Source organism: Homo sapiens, chromosome 12 (genome assembly GCF_000001405.40).
Source record: "Homo sapiens chromosome 12, GRCh38.p14 Primary Assembly".
NCBI lineage: Eukaryota > Metazoa > Chordata > Mammalia > Primates > Hominidae > Homo > Homo sapiens.
The window spans coordinates 114,010,488-114,031,699 of record NC_000012.12 but is presented as its reverse complement, the minus strand read 5'-3'; the positions used below and the strand labels follow the sequence as shown (position 1 = coordinate 114,031,699).

At 45.5% G+C, this 21,212-nt stretch overlaps 1 long non-coding RNA gene across 6 annotated transcripts, besides 1 other annotated feature; it reads right to left on the bottom strand.

Annotated features, from left to right (window-relative positions):
• Positions 1 to 647: 647 nt before the first annotated feature.
• Positions 648 to 20,635, bottom strand: LOC105369993 (uncharacterized). Of its 6 annotated transcripts, none has more exons than XR_945352.2 (6): positions 19,355 to 20,632; positions 11,585 to 11,781; positions 11,119 to 11,343; positions 6,900 to 6,991; positions 4,258 to 4,725; positions 648 to 2,476 (listed from the first exon to the last, which is right to left on the bottom strand). It is a non-coding gene; the product is annotated as an uncharacterized LOC105369993 (long non-coding RNA). The 6 variants fall into 6 exon arrangements; XR_945353.2 differs by having other exon boundaries at positions 11,628 to 11,781; XR_945351.2 differs by having other exon boundaries at positions 11,119 to 11,781; positions 19,355 to 20,635.
• Positions 5,425 to 5,793: an enhancer, noted in NCBI's record as "CRE2". NCBI's record gives its function as "enhancer in the ventricles, atria" and the evidence as "EXISTENCE:transgenic organism evidence [ECO:0001131][PMID:22543974]".
• Positions 20,636 to 21,212: the final 577 nt, after the last annotated feature.

Below are 21,212 nucleotides of genomic sequence, written 5' to 3'. Positions count from 1 at the left end.
AACTTTTGCTCATCTGTCCTCCCAAGTTATGCCCTTTGGCGGCTTCTTGCTGAGAACTTCATTCTCCTATCTTCCCACTGAACAAGACCTTACACCATCCCTACCTCATGAGTGGGCCTAGGTGACAAGACCTCAGGCTTCTCTTGACACATTCTTCTCCATCAGAAAAGCAGATGAGTCTGTGCCCATCATTCCCAAGCACAAGTACCTTGTTGAAGCATCCCTTTGAGAAAAATATCTTCTCTTCCTGGCTTCGGTAGCAATAGCCTGCTACAATTACTCACTTATTCCAAAGAAGTTTTCCAATTGAAACCATTTGTACAAGCCTCAAACTATCCCTACGCTTTATTGGGGGATTTAGCAGGTATCTAGATTGGTCAGGGCAGAAGGGAAAAGGAAGGTAAACACCAAAATGTGGTTCCATAGCACCTGCAGTTGAGCATCCAGAATTGTTTAAGCCCCAGAAGACCCCACTAGAGAAAGACCTCTGTGTTGGTCCAGCCAACCATGGTCTGTATGCATAGGAAGGGAGGTAATGCAGCAGTCAAGAATGTAGGCTGTGGGGTCAGATGGCCATCACTTAAATCTGCTTCCACCACTCATCAGCACTTGATCTTGGACATACTTCACATCCCTGAGCCTTACCTTTTTTTCTCCTGTAAAATGGTGATAATAGTACCTATTTCACTGACCTGATGGGGTTTAGTAGATTCCCATATGTTAAAGGGTTTTTACTCCATGTTCCAGGTACTGTTTTTCTCACTTCAGCTTTCAAGTCACCCAGCCAACAAATGTTGAGCACAGAAGGAATAACAATTATAGCAGCTGAGACTACTCGGACTCTATCAGATGGGAGGATACATTTCTTTTCCAAGGTTATTGTGAGGATCAGGTGAGGTTTGCACATACTCTTGCTTCGTGGACAGACTGAGTCTACAGAGCTGTGTTTAAACTCTGGCCCCTCAACACACTGTATGGCTTTGGGCAATAACTAACCTTACCTACCTGTAAAACGGAGATAACAGAACCTCAAGGTGCTGCTGTGAAGGTTACATGAAGCGAGACATGTGACGTGCTTGGCATGTGGTAATGACTTTGTAAACACAAGCTGCAATTATGTGTGTAGAAAACCTTGGAGACAGAAGATGCAGTAATGAAGACTTTCATGAAAATGAGTCAGGTGTTAAAATAACTTAATGTATGTTTGGTTCTCTTGGTAATTCTACTCCACCCCCACCCCATTCTATCATTGTCTGTCTTTCTAGTTCTCTCAGTTGAAAAGACTCCACTTGAGAAGGCCCCAGCCCACCTGTTTCAAAATACAGGGAAAAATGCCAAATAGCCTCCCCAGCTGGGCCCTAACTGCCTCTGATAAAAAGGATGAAGAGAGGTGAATTCTGAAAATTAAACAAATCCTGGTGTCTTTGAAAGGTCACCCAGCTCTGACGTTGGCCGTCCCGTAGGTGACAGACCGCAGGGCCAGCCGGCAGGAAGAAGGGAGACTCAGGAGCAATTAAAACCAAAGTCTAGGGTGGCCAGAGAGGAAGGCCCCAGGATGCCACTCCCAGCAGGTAAGCAGCCTGCAACGAGATGATGGAGACTTGTTCTGCAGAGCTAGCTGTTCACAAGTGCCTTGTGAACACCTACTTTGTATAAGCAGCAAGAATCAAATTCTGTCCCTCCATGGAAGAACCCACTTTCTAGTGGAATGTTAGCACTTCCCTCCATCCCAGCAGCAGACAAGGATTCTATCTCCAGAGGTAGACTTCTGATCTCTCAGCAGCAACACAGATGAAGAGGATGGTTCCAGGGCTTTGACTTCACTGGGATGCTGCTTTTCATGGGAACCTGCAGGAGAAATACCATCATCACTTCTAGGTGTGTACATTTCCCACCTCCCCCAAGACTGGACAAAGCAGTTGGGGCTGGGGGTATGTTTTCCAGCAGCCTGGCTCCTGTGTATGGCTGAGTAGAGGGTCTAGACCCTGCTGTGCCAAGGAAACAAGAGGGAGGACAGGGCCACCCCAAGAGACCTGTGAGGAGGAAGCCAAACTCTTGGCTACAGTGCCTTTAAAACTTCCTGTGACTGTGACTGCAACCACCAAGCAGCAGACATGCCTTATTTCAGCCCTAGGTTAATATCAGTTACTTCTATTGTCCCCATTTGATGTATGGCAAAACAGGTGTTGGATCCTGGCTCTGCTACTTCTGAGCTATGTAACTTATAGCTCAGGAACTTGCCCCAAGTCCATTCTATGCAATGGTTAAGGTTCTCCATTTCCACAGCACATCCACAAGATCTGAGAGAAGAAAGCAAAATATTCTCCTTCAATGGGTTAGAGACTGGTAGAAACTTTACCAACAAGTGACAGCTTATCCTACCTTAATCAGAAGTGTCAGTGCCTCTTTTGTAGGAAGGATGCATGAGCCTTTCCTAGGCAGGATCCGGCCCAGAAGATAAATCCTCCTGAAAGCCCTTAGAAAATGGAAATGGAAATAGCCAAACTGGAGTTGACTTCCTTGCCTTTTCCCATACATTCAGAAATCTATACATGTATATGAGTTGCCTTAATCGAATGGGATACCCCCAAGTTCTATATCTTTTAGTGGCTCCTGGTTCAGTGATAGTAATCTGTACATGGCCAAGATGCAAGATATGACTTTACTATCAGGAAATATTCAGTCTAGCAGGAGACACAATATTATACAAGTGGGTTCATACTCCCTTGTGGCATCACCGCCTTATTTTTGTATTTAATAGAAAAGACAAATGATACTCTATCACCTGCCAGTTCTATTACAGTAGATTTGCAGGGACAAGGAGAATAGAACATCATTTGGTAGGAAAGGCTTGAGTCAGCCCTGGGTTCAAATCCCAGCTTGGCTATTGTGACCTTGCATGAGTTGCTCAGTAACCCAAAACTTCTGTAAAAGGAGCCTGATGGCCACCTCAAAGGGTTGTTGTTAAATTTTCAGATGACATACTTAGCAAGTTGACTATAAATAGCAGATGCTACATTATCCACCATGTGATGCAGTGGTGAAGAACATTGCTGTGAAAACCAAATGTAGAGGATACCAACCTGGTCTGGCACTTACTAGCTAGGGAGAAGAGAGGTTAAGGGACCCTCCCAAGGTCAGTTTGCTCAACTAGAAAGTGGGATAACAGTACCTAACTCATTGGACTGCTGTGAAGGTTAAATTAAACACTTGAAGTCCATAGAATAGTGCCTGGGACATAGTGTTGGGAGACTATTCTCTATAGGCGACTTACATTCCTGCATGTCTTCTGAGCAGAAGCACTGACATTTTGTTCTGGACTACCTCTTCAAGAATGTTTATATAATCAACTGCCTTGGTAAATACTGTCACCACCCCCCTCCACAGCCTCAGAGCAGAGGGAAGATTCATTTGTTGTCCTGTGTAATAAAGACAATGTTGCTTCTCAGGCAGGTCAGACAGGACTACTTGCAGTTCTTTGTCTGGTTCCCTAGGCTCAAGGTAGCTCAGCTGTGGTGTGAACCTGCCACATATGTAGCATTCACCTGGATTGCTCTGTGCCCAGGTGAATGGGAAAACTTGGACAGCAAGGGGGAACCCTCAAACTATCAATGTTTATTCTGCTTGCTGTGCTTTGAGTAAAAAACAAAAATCCTTTGTCTCTGACCCAGGAGTCTCATGTCATCTTGACAGTGTGTTCAAGGTATAGTGGCTATTTTTAAACTATAACTATCATTTGCTTGCTATTGCAAATAGGGCCAACATCAGATAATTTTCACCCATGGAAATGGACATGTGAGGCTTAACTCATCTGTCCCTTGTGGAGCTCTTCTCTAGGACCTAAAGGATGCTTTGAATCTAGATATTCACTCATTCTGTCATCTGATCAGAATAAAACTTTTGCCTATAAATCAGAAGTTCAGGGATCACATAAAGGTAGTGACAAGTCTGTCCCTTTAGCTACTTCAGTCAATTGGTGAAGAAAGGAATACCTCAATTGAGTCAGATTTTCATCTGGGATAATATTACAAGAGACTTGTGAAGTCATGTCCTGGTTCCAAACCCCAGCTCCACTACCAGCTTAGCTGTGTCATCTTAAGTCATTTGCCTCCCTCTCAATTTCCTCATGTGTAAAATGAGGATAATACTTTTATTATTTAATACTTGAATAATCATAATATGTCATTTCAAAATATCAATTTCTACCAAAACTTCAAAGCATACCTATACCTCAATTGAACAGCATTGCTCACTCACCTTCTAGACTTTCCCTTTACTAGGCTTAATATTCATTGCTGAGTGTATCACTATCTGCAATTATATGTTAATGGTTTCCAAAAATGGCCACCGGCACTTCCTCTCCTCCCTGTATACACTTGCCACTCTTCATAGCAAGAGGCGTTATTAATATTTTCTCCTACTCCTGAGTCTGGACTGGCCCTGGGATTTGCTTTAGCCAATAGATTGTAGTGGAGGTGATGTCTTGAGACTTCAGCCCTTAAGGTTTGCAGCTGCATCTTTCCCTTCTTGCAGCCCAGATGCCATGCTGTAAGGAAGTCCAAGCTGAACCGCTCAATGATGAGAGGCCACATACAGAGAGACCCTGGGGGGTGAGAGGCCATCGTAGTGTTCCATCTGAATCACCAGCTAAATGTAAGCATGCATTAACTCCAGGTGACATAGGGTAGAAGAACCACACAGCTGAGCCCTGCCCAAATACGCAACCTGCAATATGAGAAATGAGCAATCATTGTTGTCTCAAGTTACCAAGTTTTGGGGTACTTTGTTATGCAGTAATTTTATTTTTCCCCTCACTAGGATGTAAGTTCAAAAATGCAAGGACTGTCTTTTCACCGTATCCTTGAGCCCAGCATGGTGCCTGCCACTTGGTAGTTGTTTAAATATTAGATGGTTGAAGCCACTTATTCACTCAAGCAGGCGTGGTGTTTTGTTCACCATTGTACCTCCAGTTTCTAGGCAACAAAACTACTGCCCCTTTGTTGATTAGAGGCTACTTATGTATGTTTTTAATCTGGAATTGCCTATCTCTGTAATAAGTGGAGATGAACAATAATATAAAACAAGACCTGGGAACATCCTGACACTTAACCAGGCAGCCAACTACTTATGTGCTTGCTTTCAAAGGGGCATGCTTCTCAAATTTTGGTCCTAATTCTTCCAGTAGCTCGAATGAAGCCCCATTCTTCCCCTACCCTGTAACATAAAGTAATCATCTAGCAGATGAACTCTGCACTTTCATTCCCTTAACACTGGTCTCCACTAGAGAGAGAGGTGTCTCTCCCTTCTCCCACCCAGAACCTCACTGGTTTGGCTCTGGGTCTTAAGAATAGAAAGATCTGAAGAAGTGGTCTCTGTTCTCCCTGACCCAGCTCTCACCCACCTCCCAGCCAAAGAGTACTTTGGAGAAAGAAGTGAGCAACGGAAAGATGCCCAGCCTCCTGTAGCAGTGCTGCCTCTTATCAGTCCCCCAGCACCAGAGCCCTGCTGCAGCCCTCCCCTCCCCGAAGGCTGGGCCTGACAAGTTTGTACATTAGCACTTTTCAAAAGCAGTGTCCACTTTGGGAAGGGTGGCAGGGCCCAAGAGCAGCCACTTCCTTTGACAAATGCCAGTGCTGACAGCTGAACGCTGTCTTACAAACCCTGGCCCCTGCTGCTCCCCAGGAGGTACTGGGTAGAGCAGGAAGAAGCTCAGATGTAAGTCATTCACCAAGGACAGTGAGCCCCAAGATGACATCTGCTTGATAGAAATCTACAAACACAGGAGAGAGGCAGTGAGCTCCAGGGCTGTTACCCCTGGGATCATGTTCTGCAGGTTCCTAGCTGTGTCTCTCGGGCAACTTAGTCCATGTTTCCAAACCCTATTTTCCTCATCTGTGAAAGAGAGGCAATTACTATGCCATATAGTTGCCTATTGCTGCTTAATGGATTGCCACAAACTCAGTTGAAAACAGCACATTTATTTTCTCAGTTTCTGTAAGTCAGGTCAGCATATCACTAGACTGAATCCTCTTGAACCAGGGTCTCATGAGGCTGCAATCAAGGTGTCTGCCAGAAGTTCCCTGGAAGGACCCACTTCCAAGCCCCTGTGATCACTGGCAAGTGTTGGTTTTTTGCAGGTTGTAGGATTGAGGACCTCAGCTTCTTGCTGTTGGCTGAAGGCTGCCCTTAGTTCTTTGCCATGTGGGCCACCTCAACATGGCAACTTGCTTCATCAAAGACAGCAAGGAGAGGGGTTTGCTAGCAAGACAGTTGTTAGAACCATAGAAGTGACATCCTATCCCTTTTGCCACTCCCAGCTAGGAGCAAGTCACAGGTTCTACTCATACTCAAGGAGGAGAAAGAAGGTTGACAAGGGCCCCAAACACCAGGAAACAGGGACCACTGGGGAGAATCTTAGAGCCTGAGATGCATCAGCTCCTTCATCCCCACCTATGAGTCAGCTGTATGAAGTCTTTAATGCATGGCCTGGGTTTTCTGTTTAATTCCTAGCATTCAGCGTCCCAGCAGAAAGCAGATGGAATATTCAAATAAAATCCCTTCATTAAACTCATCTCAAAGGTGTGGAAAGGGAGTAAGCAGGGACACTAAAAGGAAGCAGAGAATTGTCCTGGGGCTGGCAAACTGCATCCCTACTTATGAAGGGGAAAGGGGTGGGGTGCAGTTCCCTGAACATAGAGGAAAGAGCCATATGGAAAGGGCTGCCTGACAGTGGAGGAGCAGCTACTGGCCAACCAGTGGCCCAGCCAGCAAGAGAAGGCTGGGCTGAGGCTAAATACCCTGACCTCTCTCTCCTACCTCTGACTTCCTGCTGGGCCTTCCAGTAGCAGGGCTCCCCTGGAAGTCATAAAAGGAGGGGAAGCCATTGCATCAGTCCCTACCTCAGTCCCAGCTTCTCCAAAGAAGTAAAAGGCAGCTCTGGGGACTAACAGCAGATCTTGCAGTCATTCATATCAAGCAGTTTTCAAGGCAACTAGTAAACAAAAGTAGAATATGTTTCATGATTCCAGAGATTGGAATCCCTACTTGATTTTAAACCCTGGGGATCTGTAGACCAATATAAAGCAGTTTATGATCTGGAGCAAGAGTCAGCAACTATAGCTCATGGGCCAGATCTGGCCTGCCACCTGTTTCTATAAAGCTGGGTTTTTGGGGTTTTGTTTTTTGTTGTTGTTGTTTTGACACAGGGTCTCACTTTATCACCCAGGCTGGAGTGCAAGGGCGTGATCTTGGCTCACTGCAGCCTTGACCTCCTGGGCTCAAGCGATCCTCCCACCTCAGCCCCTGAAAGTAGCTGGAAAAACAGGTACGTGCCACCATGACCAGCTAATTTTTTTGTGGAAGCGGGGTTTCACCATGTTGCCCAGTCTGGTCTGGAACTCCTGAGCTCAAGTGATCAGCCTGCCTCAGCCTCCCAAAGTGCTGGGATTACAGGCATGAGCCACTGCACCCGGCTTCTATAAAGTTTTATTAGAACCCAGCCATGCTTGTCTATTTGTATATTGTCTGTGGCTGCTTTCATAATAAAATAGCAGAAATGAGTCCTCATAATAAGGATTATATGGCTCCCAAAGCCTAAAATATTTAACATCTAACCCTTTACAGAAAAATTACCAATCTCTGGTCTGGTAGAAAAGCATTTTGATTAGAAAAATAAGCCTTTTAGAGGAAAGAAGTAGGAAGAAATTAAATATTCCCATCTTTAAAGACAAGCGTGTGATTGGCAATTAATGTACAGTGTCTTGATCAGAGCACAGGATAAAAGTCCCCAACTGACACTGCCTCTGAGGTACATTTCAGAGGTTCTATTTAAAAAGGTAAATATGAAACAGTCACAAGGCATAACAAGGTTAACCCAAACACCTATTTTGTAATGCACTTATACAATCCTGGGTGCTCAGGGCCAAGAATGCCTTCTAGACTTGCACTGAATATCTTTACTAAAACCACTGTATTAGTCTGTTCTCACACTGCTATAAAGAACTACCTGAGACTGGGTAATTTATGAAGAAAAGTGGTTTAATTGACTCACAGTTCTGCAGGTTTAATAGGCATGATTGGGAGGCCTCAGGAAACTTAGTCATGGCGGAAGGTGAAGCAAGCATGTCTTACTATGGTGTAAAGCAGGAGAAAGAATGTGTGAATTGAGAAGTGCCACACACTTTAAACCATCACATCTCATGAGAACTCACTATCATGAGAATAGCAAGAAGGAAATTCACCCCTATGATCCAGTCACCTCTCACCAGGCCCCTCCTCCAATTTGGGAGAGTTGGGTGGAGACACCAAACCATATCAGCCACCAAATTTCTATTATAAATCTTACTGTAACAGAATCCCCTTCTTGCCTTAGCAAACTCTTTCTTATCAATAGTTGAAATTAAGAAGAAAATAGTCCAGTTTATTCACTCAAATGACCAAGCATCTTTTTATTATAGGTCCCAAGGCAGGTGCTAGGGATATTTCAAAGTTTTAATCTTTCATTCCCCTGTCTGGATCTTAATCTCAGAGATGGTCCCCTCCACCACCTATGTGAGCCCTTAAATCCCATTCCTTTTGTTTCCAGCCCAAGCCCTCTTTTCAACACACCACCGAGGAAAAGGGGGTTGAGGGTAGGTGGAACAGAATGTTCCACAGCTGATATGGTTTGTATCTGTGACCCTCCCAAATCTCATGTTCAATTGTAATCCTGTGTTGGAGGTGGGGCCTGATGGGAGGTGATTGAATTACGGGGGTGGATTTCCCCTTGGTGCTGTTCTTGTGATGGTGAGTTCTTGATCTGGTTGTTTAAAAGTATGTAGCACCCTCCCTTGCTCCTGCTCCTGCCATGTAAGATGCCTGCTACCCCCTTTGCCTTCTGCCATGATTGGAAGCTTCCTGAGGCCTCTACAGAAGCCGAAGCTATTACGTTTCCTGTACAGCCTGTAGAACTGTGAGCCAATTAAACCCTTTCCTTATCGATTACCCAGTATCAGATATTTCTCTTTTTTTTTTTTTTTTTTTTTTTTTTTTGAGCAACAAAGCTGTTTATTTCACCTGGGTGCAGGTGGGCTGAGTCTGAAAAGAGAGTCAGCAAAGGGAGATAGAGGTGGGGCCGTTTTATAGGATTTGGGTAGGTAAAGGAAAATTATAGTCAAAGGGGTTTGTTCTCTGGCTGGCAGGAGTGGGGGTCACAAGGTGCTCAGTAGGGGAGCTTTTGAGCCAGGATGAGCCAGGAGAAGGAATTTCACAAGATAATGTCATCAGTTAAGGCAGGAACAGGCCATTTTCACTTCTTTTGTGGTGGAATGTCATCAGTTAAGGCAGGAACCAGCCATTTGGATGTGTACGTGCAGGTCACAGGGGATATGATGGCTTAGCTTGGGCTCAGAGGCCTGACATTCCTGTCTGAAGATCGGCATCCATGATGGTCTAGGGGACTTCCGAGGTGATCGGGCAGCATCAGTCTTCAGCCGCTAAGCCAAGAAGATCTGGTAAGGAGTCAGTCAGAGAGCCTTGGGCCAGAGTTCCAGGGGCTCTGGAAGTGGCTGCTGGGTGAGTTGAACAGTCCAATTTTCAGTGGGGTCCAGATTTGAAATTGGTGAGATGTTCCTTGGGCTGGTCGGTCTGAGGACCTGAGGTTGTAGGTGGATCTTTCTCATGGAGCAAAGAGCAGGAGGACAGGGGATTGATCTCCCAAGGGAGGTCCCCTGATCTGAGTCACGGCACCAAATTTCACTCACGTCCGTGTGAAGAGACCACCAAACAGGCTTTGTGTGAGCAACAAGGCTGTTTATTTCACCTGGGTGCAGGCGGGCTGAGTCTGAAAAGAGAGTCAGCCGTATCAGATATTTCTTTATAGCAATGCAAGAATGACCTAACACAGCAGCAGACCCAGGAAGGACTCTGGGCTTCCTGAATCTATTGAGTGTGCTATATACTCACTAGATGTGAGACCCAGGGCAAGTCACTTCCCCCATAACCCTCCCTCCCTCCCCTCATCTCCCTGAGGCAGTAACATTTCCTGCTTCATCCATGTCAGAAGGCAGTTATGAAGCTGGAAAGATCACGGAAGGCTGGAGACTGTATAATTCCACTCATGAGGCACCTAGAGTAGCCAAGTTCAGAGAAAGAATGGTGGTTTCCAGGGATGAGGGGGGAGGGAGAACGGGGAGTTAGTACTTAATGGGTACAGAATTTCAGTTTTGCAAGATGAAAATGGTTTTGGAGTTGGATGGTGATGGTTGTATAAACATGTGAATGTACTTGATGCCATAAAAGAATACCTTCTAAAGAGAATCGAGGCTGGGCACAGTGGCTTATGCCTATAATCCCAGCACTTTGGGAGGCCAAGGCAGGTGGATCATTTGAAGTCAAGAGTTTGAGACCAGCTTTGGCCAATATGGTGAAACCCTGTCTCTACTAAAAATACAAAAATTAGCCAGGTGTGGTGGCATGTGCCCATAATCCCAGCTACTAGGGAGCCTGAGGAAGGAGAATTACTTAGAACCTGGGAGGTGGAGGTTGCAGTGAGCTGAGATCATGCCACTGCACTCCAGCCTAGGCAACAGAGCAAGACTCGACTTTGTGAGCACTGCTGCAGAAAGAGGACTTTCTCTCTCATGGCTCTTGGGTTTTGCTGCCACCCATAGCAGACTCCCAAACCCAGAGCCTTTTTTTCTTTACAGCTGTTCCACAGCCTCTCCACCCCAGCCCATCAATCACTCTGGCCCTGCTCTCATCCAACTCCCCAGGGCCATCTCAGGTACCACAGTCATCCATCAGCTATGCCAGCACTCTCCCCTTCTTTGCCCACCTCACTCAACCCTCCAGCCCCAGGCTCGTCTCAGAGCCATCTGCTGTTCCTGCCTCTCCTCTGCCCTTCCTAATCATCTTCCACCTGGACAAATGCAGGAGGGGTGAACCAAGGCAGGTACGCTGGCAACAGAGATCACCCTGCTTGGAGAAGATCGCCTTCTTGTCTCTGTTCCCAGAGGCTCTAGGGTTCTAAGACAGCACTTGTCAAACTATAGACATGCACACAAGTCACAGTCATGTTAAAATGCAGAGTCTGACTCAGGAGGTCCAAGTGGGGCCTGAGTTGCTGCATTTGTAACCTACCAGGTGATGCTGATGCTGCCAATCTGGCCACAGCTTGAAAAGCCACATCTGAAACACCACCCAGTTCCCCCTCTGCCTGACCCTGGGGGAGGACTTCTGAGAAGGAACTTAGTCGATATTGGGATCTTGCTTGAATTTGCAGTGACTTCAGTTTAACTTGAATAAAACTCGACTTTGAGGCAAGTACCAATTGATGGAGCATGTCTTCATCCATCTTGGAGAAAGCTATTTAGCAGATGTTGAGAAATTATTTTTACCAAAGGAATTAAGGGGGGAAAGAGACAAATCTTCCTTACAGAAGAAACCCAAATAACATAAGTCAATACAACCCCATCCAGGAGGTGGAGCTTAATATTCCTTTTCTCTCCTCCCCACCTCCCTAAAAATAAGAAAAGGATGAAAATTATAGCTCTACAATGGAGCAATCTGGCAGCTGCCACCTTAGCTGAGTGATCAAGGTCAATACCATTTGGGAGGCAGGAGGCTGGGAGACGAGAAAGATGCTTCACCTCAGGTCTTCTTCTTGGGAAGCATCACCCCAGAATCCTCATGTGAAAAGCATCAGACCAACAGCAGGTGGACATCCTACAGAACACCTGACCAGTACTCCTCAGAAGTTAAGTTCATGAAACAGGGAGAGATGGAAGCTTTGACCTGAGAAGACTGGAAGAAACTAAGATATTAATACATGAGAACCAAACACAATGTAGAATCCCAAAGAAGATCTCACAACAGAGAAAGGCACTGCAGTAAAGTTGTGAAATCTGAATAAAGTCCAGGATTCACAGTAAAGTCCTGAGGTTGGTTTCTTAGTTTTGATGAATGTCCTGTGGTCTTGGAAGATGTTCGATTGAAAGTGTGAGGAGTATGGAAACTCTTGTCTTTGGGATGCTTTTGTAAATCTAAAATTTTCTGAAAACTTTTTGAATAATTAGCCTTACATAGGTTAGGGTATAACTGGGAAGCTGTACTGTACCAACGGGGATCTTATGAGAGTATCTAAAATGACCGGAAGGAATTATTGTATTACTGCATTGTTTTATATTTTACTATCTCCTGCCAACTCTTCTCCAAAATAATTCTGTGCTAATCCATGGCATCTGGTGGGAAGATGCAGTGGGACTGGGCTGCCATAGGTACAGTCAGTGAGTATGTGCTTTCTGTGAAGGATCTTAATAAAAACGAATTAAACATTGGTCTTTTTATTGCTATCTGCTGACAATTCTAAAGTCATAACTTTTAACCTGGAAACTCGTAGGCATTGACAATTGAAATTAACATCACTGTCTGTCCCTGATATATCTTGAAACAAGCAGCTCAAATGTTTTTTCCTTGGCTTAGGTATTTACCTGCCCCTAAAAGATGAAGCTAGATGACTAATCAAGACTAACAACTTGTTCATCAAGATTTCCCTCAACTCCCCTCCTTACTGGGCCAGAGCCATGTCAGAAGGCTTGCCCAATCCTAGTCAAGGCCCACCCTAAAAATTAGCCCAAGCCTTAGACCTCACAAATACCCTGCCCTATTCCCCATTGTGAGATACCTCAAACTATCAGGGGTTCTCCTTTACTGCAATGAGTCTGAACTTTAATGTAGGGTTTTTCTCCAGTAGTTTCTTTGGGAAGTTGACAGATGCATCACATAAAAACCTACACATGCACAAAACAAGCACAAAGATGTTTATGTGCAGGATGACTAATAGGGAGAGTTGGCAGCCACCTACGTGTCCATCAAGGAGTGATTAAATAAACACTGAATGGTATCCTACAAGAGGAGCATGCTAACTAAGCCAGATACACTGAAGCTGGAAATGTTCACCCTATTCTGAGATGCACTACATTAAAAATACCTGTAATTCTAAATATTTTGAAAATGATCCTCTTTCAAAAATCATGCCTCTGAGGCTGTCTAGGTGTATATATTTGAAATATAAAAATGCATTGAAAAAAACTGGAGAACTGGTGACAGTCTTTGGGGAAGAGTCAAGAGATACTTTGGCTTTATTTCTTTGCCCTTTATACATTTCAATTATGTAATTATTTGCATAATGAAAATGCTCTTACTGAATTTTTAAACAAATTGTCTATTTCTCTCCTGGTCCAGCATCTAGGGTACTTCTACTGTTATGATTCTGAGCGTGGGTGATGGCTCATCTGGGCACCTACTCTCTGCAAGGCTGTGAACCTGATCCTCTGAGTAATCTTCATGACAGTCCTGAGGGGGTGAAGTTGTCCCCACTTGGGGACAGTGAATGATGGAATGATCTGATCCCACATCTTCTGCCAAAGCACACACCATAGAAACAAGTACGAAGTGCATTCTTAATTCTTCATGACAGGTGCTGCTTATTCTATTTTTAAGGTGGGAAATTGCAGGTTATAGAGAATAAGGTTTTGCATGATTGTAGAGCTAGTAAATGGTGGGTGGGTGGTAACTATCTCTTCAGGCTGCTGCTTAGAACCTGTATGCTCCCCATTCTCATCCCCTTGCATCTAAGGTTCCTGTTCCCCAATGGAAAACCCCTTTGGGAAGCTGATTCCCCTGCAGCTGTAGAGGGGAGTTTGAGGTTCCCTTGACTCTTCTGTTGAATGACTGCTGAATGAAGGTGTCTCCCCTAAAGAGAGCATTCCTGACACTGTCATCATCCCTCCAGTTCTCCCAGAAGCAGACCTTGAGACAAGGAGTTGTGTGCCAGGGAATTATCAATGGATTGTCTCCAGGAGGAACTGGGAAGGGAGAGGGGAAGCAGGATAGGAAAGGGTAGAATTCCAGCAAGGGTATGATTTCAGGCAAATCCCAGCCTGAGCCTGATCCTGCAGGGTGCTGTGGGGCACAGTGTAGCCTCTTAATAGGTCTTGATTCCCAGCAAGGGACCTGAGCTTCTATTGTCCCCACCAGTCAGTCACTGCATGGGGGGCTGCCCTAGAACATAAAGTCCCAGACACTTCTGTCTCTGTGGGTGAGGCCAAAGCAACTCCAATGCCCCCTGGGAAGTTTCATTGCTTTCATCTCTTGTGACCATCAATCTATTGCAACGTGTGCTGTAGCCTACCCCACCCCCAGACGGCTGTCCCTCTGGTCATTATTGTCCTAGTCCCAGGACCAGGTGGAGGTCTCCTTATAAATCCTATCTCCCTTTTGTGAAATGAAGTGGTCGTTTGCAGTGTTTTAAAGGGAGAATGAAATATTCCAGTCAGAAGGACTTTCTTCTGACAGCACGTTACATGAAAACTGCCAACTCTTTATACTTAAGACTTCTGTCTACTCAATTCATTGATCCTCCCTCCTCCCCCTCCCACAACACTTAAGCTATGTAGAAGTGAGTTTCTCAAAGAACTATCAGGAAGTGTGAGTTGCTCATTCTTTTGGAAAGCAATCTAGTGAACTCTAAAATTCCAAAATTGCATGGCCTTTGACCCAGCAGAACTCTAGCCTAGCAATAGTAAGTACAATAGTAAGTACTCGACAGGCACACAGTGGTGTTGACTGTAGCCCATCTTATAACATCCAAAGAACTGGGCATGACCTGCACGTCCATCCGTAAGGAAGAGGCTGGGGGTGGTGATCCGTCTGGACTGTGGAACAAGCTTGTCCAACCTGTGGCCTGCAAGCACCCCAGGATGGCTTTTGTGGCCCAACACAAATTTGTAAACTTTCTTAAAATATATTTTCACAATGATTTTTTTTTAGCTCATCAGCTATCGATAGCGTATTTTATTTTATGTGTGGCCCAAGACCATTCTTCCAATATGGCCAAGGGAAGCCAAAAGATTGGACACCCTTGGTGTGGAATACCATGCGACTGTTAAAAAGAGACCCATGAATTCTATGTTGAAAATGTGTCCGGGATGTATTAGCAAAAAACACACACTGCAGAATAACAATACAGTGCAAATTCCCCCCTCTTTTTTTTGAGACAGGGTTTCTCTCACCCAGGCTGTAGTGCAGTGGTGTGATCATAGCTCACTGCAGCCTCAACCTCCCGGGCTCAAGTGATCCACCTCAGCCTCCCAAATTGCTGAGATTATAGATGTGAGCCACCGTGACTGGCCGGCAATCTCACTTTTGCCAAAGTGGGTAAATCCTACATGTATGCATGTTTACATAAGAATGGAGAAAAGTGGGGGAAGTAATACATCAAAAGATGATGACTGGTTAGTCCTGAGTGATTGGACAGTATAGCTCTCTGCATTACTTTTCCTTAAAGATACAGCTTTGTAATATTGAATAAGTTACAAAGGTAAACTTTAAAACTGAAATGTTGGGAGCTGCTGGTTGAAGCAGGAAGGTGGAGCAAGCCTCATTCCTAGCCTCCAGCTTCCCTCTTCCCTCCTGTTCTCCTGGGCAGGCATGTGGATTGCAGGGCCTCACCTCCTTGGTCCTCCTGGGACATCTCACATTGACACAGCCCACGCTGCTCAGCCCACCAGCTCTCAGCAGGCCTGCTGCCCCTGCCCTGACCCCGGTTCTCTGAGAGGTTGAAAGGCCATGGTGAGATAACCCAGCTCCGTGCCCCCACCTGGCAGAAGATCAGTTAAAAGGCATCCAAGCGGAGGACCCCCGTGGCTGCCTATTTAGAGTTCCTTCAGAGCCTCCCATGATAACAGCCACCATGGCTGAGCGCTTACATAGCAGAGCTTACAGCTAAGAGCATGGACTCTGAAATAAGTCACCTGTCATCTCCAGGCCTTAGTTTGCTCTTCTGTGAAATGGGCATAACGGTACCTCTCAGAGTGGTTATAACTAAAAGATCATATGCATGAAAAGACATACTGCATGTTGCATGTTGTCATGTGGGAACTAAAAGTTGATCTTGTAGAGTAGAATAGTGGTTACTGGAGGATGGGAAGGGTCAGGGGTGCAGGTGGAGATAGCCCAAGGTAGGTGAATGGATACGAAGTTACAGCTAGCTAGGAGGAATGAGCTCCAGTGTTTTATAGCATTGTAGGTGACTGTGATAGTAATTTGTTGTATATTTTCAAATAGCCAGAAGGGCAGATTTTGAATGTTCCCAACACAAAGAAATGATCAATGTTTAAGGTGATTTTTATGTCAATTACCCTGATTTGATCATTATACATTGCATAACTATTGTAATATCACTGTACCCTATAAATATGTGCAGTTATGTCAAATAAAAGCAAAAATGCTAAAAAAGATGTATATGGACTCATATTCTCTTATCTATGTTATATACTATTTTCTGTATATATTCTCACACATATGAACAGAGCCAATATTAAGCATGTACTCTTGTCAGTAATTTGTCCTTCGAATACTAGATAAGAGCTCTGGTGCTGAACTCAGACTGGACCTGGTTTTAAATCCTTGCTCTGCAGATAACTAAGTCTCCCAACACAGCCACCATGATTGACAGGGAGGCTGGAAAAGTGTCACTCTATTGCTACCCCTTGCAGAGCTGATGTCAGATGGGAAGTGTCTGTAAAATTTAGGGCCACTTGGATGAATTTCTTCAAGAAAAGACCATATGGGCTAGAACTGTTGAAAGGGATTTCTGTGCTGCAGGAGTTGGTACTTGGTCCTCTGAGAGAATGGATGAGGAGCTGGGCCATTTTGCCGCGTGCCTGTGAGGAGTGCCATTTCTATTGCGTTCTTAGGAGTCTATGTGAATAGCTGCTCTTGGAGTTGGGCATCTCTGGCAGTCCCATTCAGGACTTGCTTTGCTGATAACATTGGGAAGTGTGCTGAAGTCGGGGTTGGGGTGGAAGAGTCAACTTCCAGGCCCAAAGAGAAGTCACTGTCCCTTCTGACCTCCTGTCAAAGGTTTAGCCTAATTTATCTCTTACCGCTTTCTGTATAATAAAAATATTATGTAGTAATAATTTTTAAAGTTAACAGTTCCAGCCGGGGCAACATGGAGAAAACCCATCTTTACCAAGAAAAAAAAATTAGTGGAGCATGGTGGGACTACAGGTGTGTAACTTGTAGTCCCAGCTACTTGAGAGGCTGAGGAGAGAGGATCACTTGAGCTCAGGAGGTGGAGGCTGCAGTGGGCTGTGATCATGCCACTGCACTCCAGCCTGGGCAACAGTGAGACCAGGTCTCAAATCCAATCAACTAAAACTATTGGCTAGGTACGTTACATGTGTGATCTCATTTAATTCTCCCACCACCCCATGAGCTATTGTAAATTTCACTTTTCCAGGAAGGAGCTGGAGTAGAACTAATAAGATGAAAAACCTTTACTTCCTGAGCGCCCACCAGGCACTGTGCTGTGCACTTTTCTTGCAAGATTGTTATGAAAATGAGATAAGGTGGGTAAATGATGGTTCTCCCCAGGGAAAGCTGAGGTGCAGAGAGGCCCAATCACTTGTCCAAGGTCTCAGGGAGAGCAAGTGGCAACGCTGGGATGCAAACCAGAGTTTCTCTTGCTCCAAATCCCTTTCAACGTGGGCAAACAGTTTCTTCTGCTTAAAGAGTGTGGAGGACCCCTTGTGGCAAAATGTTGTCTCACCTGAAAACCATTCAGACAGAAAGCCAACTGATCCCCAGGGGGGAAGGGGAGGGAAGATTGGAAGGAAGCAACTGACTTATTTCATCTCAACATTGGTAAGATAAATTTAAAACAACACAAATGTCCAAAAACAAAAGATTGACTAAATTGATTTATATAATGAATATATATATGTATATATATATTACATATATATAAGAAGCCATTTAAACCAATGTCACAGAACATTGATTTGGAAAGGAAATGTTCAAAGGTTCATTAAAAAGCAGATGGGAAACAATCACGTAAGACATGATCTGTCTTTTTATTTAAAACATCTGCATTTGACCAGGCACAGTGACTCATGCCTATAATTCCAGCACTTTGGGAGGCTGAGGTGGGTGGGTCACTTGAGGTCAGGAGTTCAAGACCAGCCTGGCCAACATAGGGAAACCCCATCTCTACTAAAACACAAAAATTATCCGGGCGTGGTGGTGCGTGCCTGTAATCCCAGCTACTCCAGAGGCTGAGGCAGGAGAATTGCTTGAACCTGGGATGCAGAGGTTGCAGTGAGCCAATATTGCATCACTGCACTCCAGCCTAGTTGACAGAGCAAGACTCCATCTCAAAAAAAAAAAAAAAAAATCTGCATTTTACATCATTCCTGTCATACATTGAAGTAATGTGCTATGGTTTTACCTGAATGGCAAGATCAATAAAGGTAATTTTTGACCTTCTTTATTCTTATTTGTACTGTCCAAGTTTATAAACCTAAATGCCTTATTTTTCCTCTGGAGAAAAACATTGTTCTAGAAAATAATATTTTAAAATAGTTATCAAACTATTGTGGAAGAAAGCCCCTCTTTGGGGGCCTGTTTCCCCACCTGAATGATTCAATTGTGTTCCATCACTAGGTGCACCACTCAAGTTTGAAATGTCCCCCTCCCTCCCCATCCCCCTCCCCCACCTCCCTCCCTCCCCATCCCCCTCCCCTCTCTCCATCTCCCTCTCCCCCCTTCCCCCACTCCCTTTATCTCCCTCTTCCCCCCTCCCATCACTCCATCTCCCTCTTCCCCTCTCCCTCTTCCCCTCTCCCTCCTCCCTCCTCCCTCTCCCTCCTCCCTCTCCTCCCTCCTCCCTCTCTCCCTCCTCCGTCTCTCCCTCCTTTGTCTCTCCCTCTCTCCGTCTCTCTGTCTCTCCCACCTCCCTCTCCCTCTCCCTCCTCCTTCTCCCTCCTCCCTCTCCCTCTCCCTCCTCCCTCTCCCTCTCTCCCGCATCACTCTTTCTCTCCCCCATCACTCCTCTCCCCCATCACTCCTCTCTCCTCTCTCCTCTCTCTCCTCCTCCCTCCCCCTCTCCTCCTCCCTCCCCCTCTCCTCCTCCCTCCCCCTCTCCTCCTCCCTCCCCCTCTCCTCCTCCCTCCCCCTCTCCTCCTCCCTCCCCCTCTCCTTCCCCTCTCCTCCTCCCTCCCCCTATCCTCCTCCCTCCTCCTCTCCTCCTCCCTCCCCCTATCCACTGCCCCACCCCCTCTCTCTCTGTCTCCCTCTCACTCTCTCTCTCTCCCTCTCCCTCTCTCTCTCTCCTTCTCACTCTCCCTCTCTCCCTCTCACTCTCCCTCTCTCGGCGTCCCTCTCTCACTCCACACACAAACATGACACTTAGCTTCAGATTCTTCAGCTGTGAAATAGAGATGACACTCCCTGCTTCATAGGTGTGTTATGAAGATCCAGTAAGTGGACACCTGTAAAGCACCTAGAACGCAGGACTCTGACAAGCACCTACCTAACGTGCCTCCAATAATGCTGGTGAGTTAGGTCAGAGCCAGGGCGCAAACCCAGATCTTTTGTCCCCGAGTCCACCACTCTTCCCACTGAATTCCATTTCTTCTTTATGACATCGCTCCCGATGGAAGATTGTCAGGCACAGGGGCAGGCTTCGAGTGGGCAGAAAGGGCTTCCCAGAGGTCTCTGAAGCCCCCTCGAGTACGTGACCACAGTCCCCCACACCCCGGGCTTCAACACATGCAAGCTTCCGGGTCTTCATCTCCGCGGTCCTTTCGTGGCAGCTGCAGGTTTCTGCTTCCCTGATTCCAGGGCCATTTTTCTGCCTGAGCAGCTCCAATATCTAAATTTGCACTCCTGGCTGCAGGAGAGAAGAGCAGGCGTGGAAAGCTTTTACTTCTGAGAATAACTCGGGAGTCATGGTAAGGGCAAGAGGAAAAGGAGGAGGTGTCTAGCGGGAGATGGTGCCAGCTCCCCGCTGTGTTTGCCCAAGGCTGGGAAGAGTCTCATCCATGGGGAAGAGGGCAGGGAGCCCCAGACAGTTCTCCTCAGAGCCAGGCTGGAAGCTTAAGCCTGAATCTCTACCCACTACGAGTTTGCTACCTAAATATTGGGACGGCACCAAAGGCATCAGTGTGTAAGGCTGAATTTAAATGATGCAAGATTCACAAATCACGGAGATGCAGAATCAAACACACGACCTCTAGGAGGGACTTCAGACAGTTCTAAACCAGCGCAGTGGCTTAGTGTGGCTAGTCCTCCCATAGAGACGTGGAATCTAATTTTCCTTCCGCGAACCTGGACTGGCCTTAGTGACTACTCTGACCATTAGAATGTGGAAGAAGTGACGTACTGGGACAGCCGACGGTTGGTCGTCAGAGCCCTTGAATCTCCTCATTCGGAGCTCCTGAAAACTTTCTACAAGTCAGTGCCTTGTAAGAAATCCTACAACCCTGATGCCACCATGCTGTGAGAAAGCCCAGGCTACCTGAGGGAAGAGGGCCTGGAAAATAAGGCACCAAATGGAGCGTGAAGGACAAGGAGCACCGAGGTTCCAGATATGTGAGTGAAGACGCCATCTTGGAAGTGGATCCTGTTGCCCTAGTGGACCCCAAGTGAATCAAACAGAAATTACCCACTGAGCCCTTCCTGAATTCCTGTCCCACAAAACCATGCGCAAAATAAAATGGCTGTTTTAAGCCACCAAATGTTGAGACAGCTCGTTACCCATCAATAGATAAGAGAAATTGCCATTTTTGTACCACTTTCATAATTTTGCTATATGAATGTATTATTAAAAGTTTCTTCCTTTAAATTGACTTATATTTTTGCCATATTTTGAAACAAATTTTATCTACATATAAATACCATGTCTTATGAGCTAATTTGAGACCCCTCAAAATTCATATTTTGAAGTTCTAATCCCCAGTATTTCAGAATATGACTATATTTGGAGGAAGGGTCTTTAAAGAGGTTAATAAGTTAAATGGGATTATTGGGATGGTTCTTAATCCAATAGGACTGGTTTCCTTATAAGAAGAGGAGATTAGGACACAGACATTCATAAAGGGAGAATGTCATATGAACTTGAAGATGGCCATCTACAAGTCAAGGAGAAGGGACCTCAAAGAATCACCCTCGCCAATACCTTGATCTCATACTTCTAGCCTCCAGAATCATGAGAAAATTAATTTCTGTTATTTAAGCCACCCCATCTGCAATACTTTGTGACATCAGCCCTAGCAAATTCATACACCATGAAATTGAAAACCAGTATCAGACACAAACAAAAGATAACCTTTTTAATAAAATCCTTTTCCTTTGTTGTGTTTTTTTATGCTTCATGATGCCTCCAGTGC